Source organism: Homo sapiens, chromosome 4 (assembly GCF_000001405.40).
Source record: "Homo sapiens chromosome 4, GRCh38.p14 Primary Assembly".
NCBI classification, from domain to species: Eukaryota; Metazoa; Chordata; class Mammalia; order Primates; family Hominidae; genus Homo; species Homo sapiens.
In genome coordinates, this window is record NC_000004.12 from 32,222,620 (window position 1) to 32,239,081 (window position 16,462).

Here is a 16,462-nt window from a genome sequence, read left to right on the forward strand (position 1 = left end):
TACAAATTAATGATCTTTGTGGCTTTTTTTTTTATAGAATAGAGCACTTACTTCATTAAAAACCTGTTCAAGCAAATATTTTCTCTTCAGTGATTTTCTTAACGGCATCTGGAAATCCATCTGTTGTTTTTTTGGTCAGCATAAGCTGCTTCTTCTGTTATCTTGACATTTTTTAAAAACCAAACACCTTTGTAAAAGTATTAAACTATCCTTTGCTGACTCTAAATTCTTCACATTAGATTCTCATTTTCCTTTTGTTTTATCTTATAATATAATGACTTCAAATTTTTAAAAACTCATATTAGAGTCTATAGGTATGTCTTTCTTGTAGCAATATTGCCCCCATGTAAAAGCTGCATTTCCAATATGAGATAAAAAGGTATTTTATTAAAAGTGCAAGGTTTTTATGCCTGGGGTATATAGCTGCAGTGATGGCTTCAGAAATTTTCTTTTCTTTTCTTTTTTTTTTTTTTTTTTACAATACTCCTTATGCTGGATTCATTTATCTTGAAATGGTGTGCTATCCCAGCTGCAGATATCAATCTGCAATACATCTCAGGCAATTCAACTTTTGCTTGTTATGTCATGACTTCGCTTCTACATTACTAGCAACACTTTTTATGGGTCTCATGATGTTATTCAAGGTTGATAATATTACTCTAAACATGGCTAAAAATACACAATAACCATGAGAAATCACTTTTTACTATGGCAGGCAAATTACTGGAGAGACAAAATGGTCATGCAGAGATGATGAGTATCACAAGATGTTTTAAGCAGATACTCTCAACATTTGAGCTCATTGTAATAGCAACAGGAGGTGGCTACAAAGTTATTAGAGAAGTACAGTATGTACTACAGTGAATCTGATGCAGTTATGATGTAATACTGCATCTTTACATTTGCTTACATTTCTTTCAAATGTGAGTGGCCTGATAGACAGTTTGTAAGTATTTGTGTGTGTGAGTTTTGATAAATTTTAACTTTTTAAAATGTGTGTGCATATTTTATGATAATGATACAAAAACAGTAGTATCTACGTATGTTTTATACATTCCTGTCATACCTTTTTCTGATTTTTTTCAGTATTTTTAAACTACATGGTTTGTGAGTTTTTTAAATTGTTGCAAAACTCTAAAACAATTTTCAAAATATTTATTTTTAAAAAAACATATAAATGGACTCATGCAATCCAAATTTGTGATTTTCAAAAGTCGGCTGTGTATATGTCCTAATGAAGATTTATAGACTTTGAAGTTCAATAATATTGAATCTTGTTTTAAATTTTACCTTTGTTTTTCTTTTACATTTCTTAACTGCCCTGAGTTTTAGATTGCTCATGTTTATGAAGAAGATACTCATTCCTTAGTTTGCTGTACATTTTCAGAAAAAGAAACAATGAGGATAAAGCTCTTAGAACTTTGTCAGACACAATAGGAGTGCAGAGGAGAAAAAAAAATGTCTTTTTTACTACATTCTGAGGTTCAGTTGCCGGGCTTGTACCGATAAATTAATAAAAGGTAAATTAATAGCATAAAAGTCTTATGTGGCTCACACCTGTCATCCTAGCACTTTGGGAGGCTGAGGTGGGTGGATCATGAGATCAAGAGATCAAGGCCATCCTGGCCAACATGGTGAAACCCGGTCTCAACTAAAAATACAAAAACCAGCTGGCTGTGGTGGCGCGTGCCTGTAGTCCCAGCTACTTTGGAGGCTGAGGCAGGAGAATCGCTTGAACCCAGCAGGTGGATGTTGCAGTGAGCCGAGATCATGCCACTACACTCCAGCTGGGTGACAGAGCAAGACTCCATCTCAAAAAAAAAAAGTCTTATGTATTTTATTAATATTTTTATGTATATGAGAGTATCACCAAAAGAAGAAAAAACCTACAGAAGTATTTGACTCAGAAACATATATACCATTTTAACAAAAAGTGATAAACTGTGGAGAATTGACTAGAGAAAAGAAAGGGAAGTTTGAACTTCTGAGGTTAGTAAATTGTGGGAAGGTCAATATATGTGGAAACCAATTAAAGAAAAGGATTATTTTAATAATCTTTCTTTGTGCAGACTAATTCCAGTACTAGCTTCCTGTCTTCTCATGGTCACGCACCTCCTTGTAGACAGGATTTGTGGCAGTCCTCATTTCCTAGAAGTTTCTGCTTTTAGTAAGACAAGGAAGGTCCCAGAGGTTTTTTTCTCTATCTTTTGATTCTCAGTTACCTTCAGCTCAAAATAATTTATATATTAAGGTGACATATTTTAAGGTAGCATGTTCTGATATTTTTTACTTCAATTGAATTTAATTTTAATATATGCTAATGTGATACCACCATATAATTATTTTAATATATTTTCTCTGATTATCAAAAGGAATTAATTTTTTTTTTCACTCTGTCATCCAGGCTGGAGTGTAGTGGTACGATCTTGGCTTACTGCAACCTCCACCTCCTGGGTTCAAGCGGCCCTGTCATCTCAGCCTCCTGAGTAGCTGGGGTTACAGGTAAGTGACATGATGCCCAACTAATTTTTGTATTTTTAGTAGAGACGGGGTTTCACCATTTTGGCCAGGCTGGTAGCGAACTCTTGACCTCAAGTGATCCGCCTACCTTGGCCTCCCAAAGTGCTGGGACTACAGGTGTGAACCACCGCAAATGGCCTGGAATTAAAGTATTTTAGTTTATTTAATGGACATTTAGATTCTTTCTTCTGTTCATATTCTATTTTTGGAAACTTTTTCTTGATTTATAAAAATTTCTTATATATTTTGGGCACAGTTTCCCTTTTACATCACCTAAACTATTAGATTTTTCTCTCTACAGATGATAAATAGTATTTATAAGAGAGCAGAATTTATCACTGATTTTTAAAAATTCATATAAATATGTTTATACATTTTCTGTCATGAAATTGTTGTTTGAACTAAGCTTCGGTTTTTAAATCTATAAAATGCAGAGTTTGTATCAAATTATTTCAAAAGGCTAAATCGTGATGATAAAATACTGTTTTCTAAAATATTAGAGAAATTGCAATTTTTATATGGTCTTTTTCATTTCAACAGCAACCAATGTTACGTCTACTAAAGTTATGCCAGAGTACATTTTGTAAACAGGGTGTTTTAGCTCTAATTTTTTCATACTTATAAAATGAGCGTGGAAATATAGTAAAAACTTTAGGAAGAGATGAGCTTTTTTTTTCATTTTTCCAAAGCTATTAACAGATATTAATTAACTGATTTTACAGAGGAAAAATGTTTTTTAAAATCCTATCATATAATATCTAATTATTATTGAATTCAGAATTATTAAAACTTACTTGAAGTAGAAATATCTTTTAAAAAACTAGCTTATTTCCAATAAATCATCACAGAATTAGTGTATTGGAAATTTCTGCAACATATATTTTCTTTCATAGGCTTTAACATATACTGCTAAGAAACAGCAGGAGACCTATCAGAACTTCGGCTCTTCAAAAAACAGATTCTGAGACATATATTTGAGGGCAGGTAGTTTGTGAGGGAGAACTGGAGATATCATAACTGTAAAGATTGAGGGAAGCCGAAATGGAAAAAACAAGAAATTAAGCTGCAACTTGGTTACAACAAGCACCCAGCAGATCACATGATAATACTGGACCTGGGCTGGTCCTTCAGTGATATCCAAATTGGAATAAGGAGAGCCAGATTTTGTATCTCTCCATTGACCAGGCATTTGAATGAGGACTGAAGAACTTAACCATGACTAAAGCATTTTCCTCTGTATTGAAGTGGGATTCAGCTGTGAGTTATCAGCAGTCACATTTTGTAGTCAGTGGAGGAATGAGAGCCTCAGTCCTGAGGAGGAATCTGGCCAGTAAATCTGCTAGGTGAAAGCACTAGAGTTGTTCCATGCAAAGATAGATGGCTTTTTATTGGTTTTGCTTTTAATGCCATTCTTCTGTAGAGGATCTGTTAAAAGAAATAAGAATTATTTAAGTATTTAAAATGGGGACAATCAGACAGGGTTGGATTTTAATCATATTTCTAGACGTGTACATTTAGCCAAATGATTTAATTTTTCTTAGCCTCTTTTGTAAAAATAATTCATTATAATATATACCTTAGAATATTTTTAAGATGTTAAAATAAAATGGTGTATGTAAAACTCAGCCAAGTGGCTAGAAGTTAATTTGTACTCTATAAATGGTATCCTTAATAAGATATTATAAATTGAAGAAGAAAATTAACTGCCCAGCTATACCATGTAGCTAAATTATAACAATGCTTCTTAACTTTTTACTGACCACTTACTATGTGCCTGGCACCAAGCCAATTGCTCTACACATGATAATTTACTTTATAATCACAGCAACCCTAAAAGACGAATATTTCTGGTTGTTTCCATTATTCAAATGAGTAAACCTTGGCACAGAGGGATGACAAGGTATCACATCTTAGTAAGTGGTGAAGACTGGGCAAAAATTGAGGCCGACTAACTCCAGAGCTGAAAAGCCCATGTAGGAGTACATACATCCTTTTACTGTTTATTGAGCTTGTTACAAAGCCTTATAAAAATGGGAAAAGGTGATCTTATGAACATAAATACTTGCAAAAAATTAACTGCTGTGATGACTTTGGTCTGGCTAGCAAGAAAGGGTAGCAGAAGCTGCAGAATATTTTTATATCATAACATTAGGAAAGCTGTAAACCAAAAATATATTTGCATGGTAAATGTGGGGAAAATAACAACAAAGATGCAATTACATATGATCTTTTCTGGCTACCAGGATTACAGACTTCTTTTAGCATATACAGAGAAGCCACATGAAAGTGGAACTTTCATTGAATACTTTTCATATTGGACTACTTGTTTGTACTCTCTCTACCTGAAAGGGTTTTATGAAGACTTTCCAAACGGTAAATATGGAAGCAAGAATAGCTTTAATAAAATAAATTTCCAGATCCTTAACTTCCTCAACTACTCTTTCTTTCATTTTATCTTCCCAAACAAACTCATGACATTGGCTGCTTCTTTCCCACTTCTTCTTTTATGACTGCTTTTCTGCCACCATTCCTAGCATCATTATTTCTAAGCAAAAAAGCACTTCATGGTACCAATCAAATGGAGGGTTCTAAATATTGGTATTGATCTCAGGAAGTCAAAGAGCCTAATTACTGAGTAATAAACCCTTTAGTAACTCAAATGTTTACATTTTTGTTTTTTTTTTTAAATTAAAAGAGAACCTAATCAATTTGCCAGCTGATAAATCCTGATTTTTCATGATAAATCGCTGTGTCATTTTTGCCCTAAACCTCAAAGAAATTCCAAGTTTTTGCTCTTTACCAAGAACTAAATAAGTCTTAGAACTTTTAAGTTTAATTTTACTGTATTTTATTTTATTTTTTCCCAGAGCTCCTTTCTGACAACTTGCAATTGATCCAACATTTGAAACCTTATGCAGGAGCCGGACAGCTTGGTTTTGAATTATAATCTTACAAATTACTGGCTGTGTGTTAAATCTTTAAATTACTGGCTGTGTGACTTTGTGTAAGTACCTTCACTTCTCTGTGCCTTAGTTTATGTTATGTAAAAGGTATGATAATAGTATCTATCTTGGAATTTAGTTTTTAAATATAAAATTTATATATCTACAACAGCTGAATAAGTGTTATCTATCTTTATTACCATTGCAATTATTATTATAATTATTTGTATATGTCGGGCTCATAAAGCTCTTAGCTTTGCAAAACTGTCTGAGAAAGTTTGCTTTTCTTTGCATTCATTGGGAAATTAACTTTTCTACACAATAATGTTTTTAAGGCATGGACCTGTAAAATGTTTAATTGGTGTGGCTTCAAAGTATAGAAATTGTAAAGTAGGAAATAATTATACACAACTATCAAACCAATAATAAAGGTCAATAAATATTCAAACAGTATTAATATAATTTTCTTTTGATCCTGTTCTTTATTTTCTTTAACTCTTCTCCAGATGAAGAAGAAAATGCTTTGTCAAGAAATTCTTTTTTGGACTGAATTCATTGTTGCAAAAGATAGTTATTTTGGAAAGAAATTGCTTTAACAGTTTCTCCTGCTACACTATGACTTGTATGAATACATCCATAGGCATAGCGATAGAATAATGAACAGAAAAATTAAGAAGAACCTGAAATTAATAAATACCTAGGTATTTGTCAGGTGAGTTATGGATGTTGGCAGTTGATGGATTATGTTACAAAGCACATAAATGCTGTATTTGCGTTAGTGTACCATTTAGCAGCCATACTCCAGCAGAGTCCACAAGTATATGAGCATGAAGTCCCTGAAGACATTGGTAATTGATTACAATCAATCTGTAAATGATATTTAGATGATCTTTATGAGTTGCTTTCCTCTTCTCATCTTTCTTGGTGTATCGGTGAAGACTCTAAATGATTGAATTGAATGACTTTAATTACATTACTCAACGACTTTAAAACAAATTTAGTTTTCAGTAAAAATAAATGTGTATTTGTCTTGATTCTGAACCCCTTACCTCTAAAGAAATATGCCTCAAAACACCATATTCTAATAGCATTTATTGGCCTTTAATGTCTAACACAATACATTGCTGTGTTAAATTGTTTACAGTTTTCAAAAAGCATATTCTTTCTCTCTCTCCAAACACACACACACACATACACACATCTACACACATGCACACACACTTTATTCCCTGACTACACTTTTCTCATGAGCCACAATTTTAATGAAAAGTAGTTTTCTTCAAGCTGGAAAATTGCTTAGAAAATGCTAGTTGTCCGGTGAATATTTAGAGCGCACATCGTTCATTTTACCTAACTCTATGTTAAGAACATTATATTGGGATACTTTTATCCCTGTCCTTTAAAATGTCATTTCACCTCATTGAGGAACAGAAAAACCCATATAACTTTCAATTTCTCCTACAACTATAGAAAAATAACTTGTTTGCATTAATATTAATTTTAATTAATTAACTTGTTTGGATTAATATTAACTTTTAGCAAATATCTAATAGCTGCCAATTTTTTAATTGTTAGAGTATACAAACAAAATACAATGAAATAATTAACCATTATTCTACTTAAGGTTTTGTAATTAACTATAAATGGATCAATCTGGGCTTGATTGTTAGGAGTAAATTCACTCATCTGCAAAATGTACATCCATTAATAATCGCAAAAGAAATCTGAGTAAAGTCTAGATTCCTTCTATTGGAAATAATTCTCCAGGAAGAAAATATGATCAAATGCTAGGGTGCTAGGGTTGGTATTTTGTCTGTGGAGACTGAGATAGAAGTGTATAAATGAACCTTTAAACACGGCCAGGGACTGGCCATTACACCATTACTCTATTTCTTCTATTGGTTCAGCATCTCAAATTTTACTATAGAACTAGGCTAATAAGGTTCTAATGTCCAAAACCACACAGATTTAGAACCAAAACAAAACTTTTGTTCTTTTTTCAATAAAGTACCTCAGGAATTTGCTAAAATGCATATTATCAGGATTCATAGACAGATAATTGCATTTGTGTGATCTCAGCTGGGACTCAGAAAACATATTTTTAAATTATCCTATCAGAAGATTCTGAAGCAGATGGTCCATGGAGAGTTTTTGATGATATATTTCTCTAGAATAATAATGTGTTTCTCGAGACACCTATTACACTAGCAATTTATAACTTTAATCGTAAAGACAGTGTCATATAACACTTTCTCAATAAATATTTTTGAGTGAATAAATCTACATAAAATTATTTAAAATATATTGTTTATTTCCAAATTAGGAGGTGTAAACACTAATAGTTTTATAAAAACCTTTCGATCGGTCTCAAAATTGCAAATAATGTACTCTTAAAAATAAAAATTTTGTGATTTTTTTTATAACATTAAACTTAGGTTTGCTTATAACTTCACAGAGCTTGATAATACATACAAAGACTTCAAATGATTGAGGGGTGGTGGTAGTTAAGAAAGATTGTGCTGTACCAATCTCAAGAATAGAGGCAAGACCAATAATAAAGCTGTGCAAAATTAGTAGGCCAGTATTTACATAAATTGAGGATATTTATGTCAATAACTTTGCAGTCAGAGATTTTCAAAGGCCAAATAGACATTTGAATGTGTAATGAGACAATCTAGACTACAAATTGTAATATTTGTTATCCTCCAAATATGTAATTCATCACCTTCATTTTTCCCCACCATCTGCCTGGAAGCTTTTAGCAATATGTCCATAACTAGGAATAATAATTTTTATCTTTGAGAGATTTAATTTTTGTAGCAAGAAACATAAATATGAGTGTTGGGGAAAAACTTGCTCTGCTCTTCAGGTTCATGGATCTAATGCTTTTCTTACTCCAGTGGCTGGATATAATTGGATTTCTTCAGCCACATGTATGCAACCAAAACTTGAGAAGGACCCTGTTTGAATTGTCAAATATGAAGGCCCACTAAATGAACAAGTTACTGTGGCCTTCAAGCAAAGCTAAACATACCATCTTCAACCCAAAGGACTTTCAGCATATGGTAAAAAACAAAACAAAACAGAACAAAAAAACCTGACCTTTCGACTTCATTACAGTAATTTCGTGGATCATACTAACTTGTTAGAAAAGAGAATTATGGAGCCAGATTAACACATTTGGTATTTACTTATTCAAAAATAAGCCAACTTCATATTTTTGGCTTGTTCTTGTCTAGGAGATGGGATAGGTAACAATGTCAGGTTGGTAAGCTAAAACACTAAAAACAAATCTGTTCAAATATTTTAGATTACTAATGAAATATGAGATACTTTACCTGAATAAAATTTATATTTCTATCATAGCATCAACAATCATGCTATGAACTACTTGACTTATTTTACATATGTTCTAAGATTGCTGTATAGTACTTGCGCTTATTTTTGTAGCCTACTACAATCTGCTCTATTTTCAGTGCTGAGAACATACGTATTATTAACTACCACAAATTTAAAAAACATATCAGCATGGCTGTGTCATTCTTTTCTTTGTTGCCAGTCCTTTGATAGACAAATAATTGCAAATATGTACACAAAAACTTATTGAAACTAATCATGTAAAATGACTACACAAATATTTAAAACTTATCAAAAATTACTCTGAACAGCAATACATATTCTAATTCTCTACCATCTGTTAGTATGTTATGTCCTAGATCTACTTATTTATCTTTCTTTTCCAAGTAAACTATAAAAATGTTTAGGACAATGACTGCTTTTTATTTATTCCATTAGGGAACCATAACTTACTACAACATAGGGCACGCTTTCTATCTTTTAAAAGATGAATTCATTTTCTTATTCTCTTTTTAAATCATATGTTTTATATTTCAGTTATGTTTGCTTGTTGATTCTAGTTATGAGATTTAAAAATGCTTTTCATCTCAATTATGAAACATGCTTAGGCAAACATGAACTATTATATTTGTGGAAATGAAATGTTCACAATAAATCTAAATCCCTATTTGAAGTAATCCTTAATTGCAGAAATTGAGCACTGTACATAACTAAAAACAATAAAAAAAATCTGAATGAGAAATAGCCTAAATATTGTGCACCTGCTTCCAAACTATGCTACATTTATAAAGTAGAAATATTTCCCACCATCCTGTTCTCAAAAGGAAAGCTTTACATTGCTGTATTTTATGTTTTTAGCTGTAATTCCAGCAGAAACTGTGGCCTCTTCTGAGTGTGGCCTTTGAATTCACCAAGGCTCGGCTAGATTCACTCTCAGTAACCTAGGAGAAACTGGAACTTTAAATAACTAAAAGAAACAAAATCTTCATTTCAACTCACCTGTGTGCATGGAAGCCATTTTTCTCCCGTTAAGCTGACATTTCTGTGAGTTGACAGGTCTATCACTCAGAGCCTCAGACACTTCAAAGACTTCTTAGAACTTCAGGAATGTCTGAAAATTTTTAATGTGAAAGTCAGAATGTCTGGTTTTATTAAGAATTGGTCGTATCATTTATGTAATCATCCTGGGACTGTTCTACTGCTGAAAACAACAAAATGTTCAAATTATATAAAGTGGGGCTGAAACATGGAATATATATGATTTACCATTCTTTTAAAAAAAATAAATGCCAAAATAAATTTTGACAAATTGGAAAACAAAAAATTTAAAAAAATTAAAGTCATTTAAAATTATTTATTTCACCTTATTTTTGCATAAATATAAGCTTGCATATAATTTGTTTATATAAGCATTATAGGATCATGGCAAGGAAAGAGCCTATGTAGGAAATTATCCTTGGTGGCTGCTCAGATAAACATCTGATTATTCTTTAAGACTATGGATGTCTGGTTCTCACCATCACCAATTCTTATTTGATTGGTATTCATGGATATAAAGTACTTCCAAGGTAATTCTAATTTATAGTCACTGCTGTGAACCATGCTCTAGAATGAACACCAAATAAAGCAAAGCAAATTATTCTAGCGCTCATTCCTTGCAAACTGTCATTTATTTATTTAATAAAATTATTGTGCTTTGTTTTTTGACTGAAAAATTTCCATAAAACATATATTAGTTGCTTCTTTTAATTTCTGTTTTGATACTGTTTTATTGATTATAAAATTATTTCACTTTACCTGGTGAAAAATAAATATTGATGAACTCCTAATATATTTGGATTAAATATGGAGCAAATATTTCATGTAATTTTATAGTTAATTTTTTAAGTTTAAAAACTATGCTATATTAACATTTCCTTTATCAAATATAAAAATAACAAGCTAAGAAGTGAAATTTGCAAATGTAACTAATAAACAATAGTCAATGAAAACTTTATTAACTTTTATGCACAATGTTAATAAGAAATGCCATTTTCCTCTTGCAATGAATAGTTTAACTGTTTATATAGCTAGAAGTATTTGATTTACCTCAAAACTCCTATTCCACTTTATACTTGAGTGCTATCAAAAGACAGTGTAGTTTTAGAGAACTGGAGTTGAAGCAAAGAGGCAAAATTGTCCCTTTATAACACATCTTTTTTTTCTCCAATTACATTTTCATTTCATTTACATTTTCCTTCCTAATACTCTCAGTATTCTTATATGAAGACTGAATGCCTGTTACTTGAATATATTTAGCTCAGTATCTTATCATGGCGCATTTTACATTGAAATATTTTGATAATTAAAGTTTCAATGGGTGATTTTTTTAATTTATGAACTACATTATTATTTTATGTACATTTAAATTTACATCCTGAATTAGTAGCTTGTATTATTGTCATTAAGAAAAAATAGAAAAAAAATACTAGCAATTATAAACAGTATGAGTTGATATAAGCATTTTTGTTAGCCCTGAAGTCATTTTAATAGTTTTATTGTCTTAATCAACTTACTCAACTCTCTTTATTGCTCTTTGGAGGTGGTAGTTTTGAACACATGCTGGGCGTTAGTTCACTGGTGCCAAATTAAAAATGATAATTCTCATGCGTGAAATAACTGTATGGACTAATGACCAAATATCTTTATAATGTGAGCCACTGTTGCAGCAGGTGGCCAAACAATTAGACACCATAACATAATATATCCCTAAAGTAAAAAAAGGAATGACACTCATGATACAACCAAAGCAAAAGCATTAGAAAGAGAATAAAAATATCTATTTCCATAATTAATACATGCTGAAGACTTAATATTTGATTATAAATAGTAAAAACATTATGCCTTATCCTGTTTAATTTCACAGGTATTCATTAAATAAATATTTTTGTGTGTGCATGGGAAAGATGAACATGTGATTAAAAGACTAATATTATTAAAGCACTTGACCCTGTAGAACTGACAGTTACTTTTCAGGAGATTTATCTCTAGTAAGTGAACCCTTGAGGGAAAAAAAGCCTAAAAATTAAGAATAATTACAGGAAATAAATTTCTGAAAACAGGGACTTCAGAGGTAGGCAAAGTTAGGTCATGAAATATCTTATATACAAAGTCCGACTTTAAAATGTATCTTGCAAGCAAAGAAGAGTCACATAGCAAGCTTTATATTATATAGGGAAATTACTCCTGCAGTAATATGGAGAATGTATTTGAGGAAGGCAAGTAGATTGATTACAACTCTTCAGTAATAATCCAGATAAAGTTTTGATAGCTATGAATGAAAATCAGAGACCATTGTAGAAATGGTCTGAAACCATTAGACCATTAGACAACTATGTAGAAGTTAGATGTGCATAATTTTGCAACAAGGTAGAGAAGGAGTAAGAGAAAAAAACAACTCTGGTGTGATATCCCATATATTAACTTGGGTATATGGGCAAATGGTCATCTCTCTACATGATCCAGTACAAAAGGTGAACCACGTATTGAGGAGTGTAATTTAGATTCTTGCTTCTCAGAGAGCATTCTGATGACCAGAAGCCTTGGCATCACCTGGTGGATATTTAGAAGTGTGTAGTTTCAGACTCCCCTATGTTCTATTAGATTAACATCTGTATTTTAACACAATCCCTAAGAAGCCTGAGTGCATGTGCATGATTTTGAACAAATTAAATTTGAGATGTTTATATCACAGTTGAGTAGACACATCACAAGATTGGTGTAGAAATTAGAAGTATAAATATGAATGTCAATGAAGATCACAGAAGGGAAATATAAATTTAAGAAATTTCAGAAGAGATAGCCATGGAATAAAATAATTTTTTCTTGAGGAAAACACATAGAGAAAGGCAATGGATCCTGGGGACATCAACATGCAAACAGAAGTTAGAAGGGACAATAAAGGAAGCTAGAAGAAACAGCATCTAAAAGGCAACTGAAATTAGAGTCATGTCATGCAATTCATGTGGTTGGAAGAATATTGATAAGATTAATCTTTTTGCTAAAAGGCAGTCTGAAGAAAGGCCCACTGTATTTGGCAATAAGAGGGCTATTGTGATCACACTGCAAGCATTTTCAGTGAAATAACAAAATCAGAAGACAAAACAGGTTGAATGACTGGCAGGCGTGGAAGAGGAGATAGAAAATACAGATCGACTTTTTGAAAACCCTGTTTGTGGCTTAAAAGTGAGCAGTAAGTGTGTGGTTATGTGTACCAGGCAGGCTGTAAAATGCTTCCCAAAGGTCCCCACCCTTGTATTGTGTGTGTAGGCTGGCCTTATTGACTGGCTTTTCCTGAAGACAATTTGGCAGCAAAGATGGGATGTCAATTTTGAGGATAGATCACAAAGAAACTGTGGCTTCGATTTTCAGCATTCTCTTGCTCATTCACTTTCCAGCAATCCACCTGCCATTCTGTAAGCTGCCCTACTCAGAAGCCAAAAGGACGAAAAACATCCAGCAATGACCTGAGGTCTGCCAACAGTTCATTGGTGGAGCTTAGAAGTAGAATCTACCCCAGTGGAGATTTGAGATGATTCGCTAAATTGTGATGATTGAGAGACCAGAGATAGAACCATCCAGCTGAGCTGCACCTAGATTCCTGCCCATAGAAACTGAGGAGGCATCACTTCTTAGCCTTTTGGCTAAGATCAAATGTAGAAATTGTGAGTTACTCTGCGTGTGTGTGTGTGTGTGTGTGTGTGTGTTTTAAACCAGTAAGATTAGGGTATCTTTTATTTAGTAATAGATAACTAAGAAAGATTTTGGTGCCTAGAGTTGGAGTGTTTGCCTAACTTAATTGCAGAAGTGTTGTTGGAACCAGGTAGTAGCCATTGAGGAGAGTGATTATGAAAGCTTAAAGTGCATCGAACACACTATTCATAGACTTTATGGGTTTGAGGAGCTTGTGGATGAGTGGAGAAAACATTAAAACTGAAAGAAAGGCCATTGTTGTTATGTAGTTGAAGAACTGTAATAAACATTGTCATCTGCGTTTATGTGGAAAGAGGAAAGTGTATTTAATGATCTGTGTGATCTACTTACTAGCAAAAAAAAGAAGCTAGAACCTGATGCTGTTTTTTTTTTAAAAAAAATGCTAAAATTAGGTGCTAAATTAAGAAACAGCTTCAAAGTACCGAATCCAGGGAACTGCCAGAAAAATATGGTATGAGGCTAAAACTGAAGGTATGATTGTAAAAGCTCTTCTTAATACTTCAGAAAGATAAAAACTGGTGTGATGGTTCATTTTATGGGTCAACTTGGAGGGTGTTTTTGGATAAAATTAACCTTTAAGTCAGTGAACTTTGAGTATGTAGATTGCCCTCCATAATATGAGTGGACCTCATCCAGTCAGTTGAAAGTCTAAGTAGAACAAAAACTATCCTCCCAAAGCAAGAGGCAATTCTCCAGTAGGCTGCCTTCAGACTTCATCTGTACCATCAGTTCTCTTGAATCTCCAGCCTGCCAGCCCACATGTAGTTTTTAGACTTCCCATCCTCCATAATTACACGAGCAAATTCCTTATAAGAAGTCTCTTTCTATATTTAAACACATCCTGCTGGTTCTGTTTCTTTGGAGAACCCCAACTAATACAGGTGATATCATAGAGTGCTCTTCAGTCAAATAAAAGACCCTTGAAGGAGACTAAGGGTGTTTTACACAAATCTTTTCAATCCAACCAAAGGATCTCTGAGAATTGTGAGGGGTTCCTCTCATCCTTCTCAATAGGAGACAAAGGTATAGATAGGAGATTTGTGGCATGTCTTTTTTCTAGTGGAATGAACCCCAAAAGGATTTATAAAAGACCCACAAAGTCTTTTAAACACTTACATACGCAAAAACATCACCAGATTGAACTGAAAAAGAGGCATTTGGATCCCAAAACTTCTACATTTAGAAAACAGGCTGTGAAAACTACTTAGCTGCTAATGCATGCTGACTTTTACAATAAAGAGTAAATGGCTTTGCGAGCAGAACCAAGGGCCCAGAAGGCAGAGTGAACTAGGAAGCCGACCCTTACTAAGTCCAGTTTTGGGATAACTAAGCCCTTCTTGCAATTGGGTTGCAATATCTCTAGAAACTGTGAGCAAGAGACACCCAGTCAAGCTACACTTCATTTCTGACTCACAAAAACTGTCAGATTAAACTGTTTTTTAAGTGGTTGAATGTTGAATAATAGAGAAATCACTGGTAGAGAGGGAGAAATGGACATTAAGCAGCCTGTTTGTATAGATGGGAGTTTATAGGAGATGCACAAGTATTGGTGGTAAGATTTAGAAGGTGAGTAGATGAAGGTGAGTAGATAGTAGTGGTATCTGGTGAAAGAGGAAGAAAAATGGAAGATTATGGAATTAAGAAGACAAAAGAAGAAAACATTTAAAGGTGAAGGTGGAGTCTACTCTCTTCGCAGTTTGAATGGAGGGCTGTGGGTGAAACATTATGTAGAATAAGGCAAAAACAAAATACAATGTGGGAAAATGAGGGTGCTGAATATGAACAGCTATTCAAACAATTTTTGTTGGAAAAAAGGAGTGAAGAAAACAGGGTTGCAGCCAAAGAGGAACATGAAACCAAAGGATATATTTTTATCTTAATTTGAAGTGCTAGCGTATTTATATGCTGAAGGAAAATTGGAATGGATGGGGAGAAATCACACATGCATGAGAGAATAATTGGATGGCATAAATTGCGATGACAAAAATAGAAGGGACCCAGAGATCAGGCAAAATAAATCCCTCTTATAGGAGCAGGGCATGGATCTGTATTAACAGGGCTGAAAACAGAGGCTATGTATTTCGATAAAAATTAGTGCATAGATTTGATATGAGGATGGTGAGAAATTTGCCAAAGGATTTTCATGGAATACGTTTCCATGATCATAGAGAGTTTTCTTATGCCACACTGATCTAGATAAAGATTATCATCTTAACATTATAGAAATATCCTTGTGTTAGGCCATTGTTGTGTTGCTATAAATCTGTAAGACTGGGTAATTTATAGAAAAAGAGGAAATTTAAATGGCTCACCGTTCTGCAGGCTGTACAGAAAACAGTGCTTCTTGTGAGGGCCTAAGGAAGCTTACAATCATGGCAGATGGTGAAGAGGGAGCAGGCGTCTCACATGGTGGGAGTGGGAGCAAGAGAGAGAGGGAAAAGGGGAGTCGCACACTTTTAAACAACCAGCACTCTTGACAACTCACTCACTATTGCAAGGATAGCACCAAAGGGATAGAACTAAGCCATCCATGAGAAATTCACCCAAATAAATCAATTGCCTTTAACCAGGCCTCATTTCCCATACCGGAGATTATATTCCAACATGAGATTGTGGAGGAAACATATCCAAGCTATATCAATCCTCTTCTATTTTCTCCTAAAATTTATCTTTTACATATTATTGCTAAGATATTTAAGGTAAATAATTATATCATCTTCAAAAATGACATCACGCAAATGATGAAAACACTGAAAAAATTATACTTTTTTTTTCCTTTCTCCTTGATTAAGACTTTGACTTTTTATTGAATTTAGCGGAGATATTTCTACTCTTTTCCTTAACTAAATATTTTCTCCAGGTTTCTAGTAGATACCAGTCATCAGAAAAGA

The 16,462-nt window shown here is 33.2% G+C and overlaps 1 long non-coding RNA gene across 2 annotated transcripts; it reads left to right on the top strand.

The window, feature by feature from the left end:
* Nucleotides 1–453: 453 nt before the first annotated feature.
* On the top strand, nucleotides 454–13,863 carry LOC102723846 (uncharacterized). Of its 2 annotated transcripts, XR_427508.4 has the most exons (4): nucleotides 2,405–2,502; nucleotides 5,388–5,524; nucleotides 5,969–6,174; nucleotides 13,256–13,863. It is a non-coding gene; the product is annotated as an uncharacterized LOC102723846 (long non-coding RNA). The 2 variants fall into 2 exon arrangements; XR_007058442.1 differs by lacking the exons at nucleotides 5,969–6,174; nucleotides 13,256–13,863 and having other exon boundaries at nucleotides 454–2,502; nucleotides 5,388–5,910.
* The last annotated feature ends 2,599 nt before the right edge of the window (nucleotides 13,864–16,462 follow it).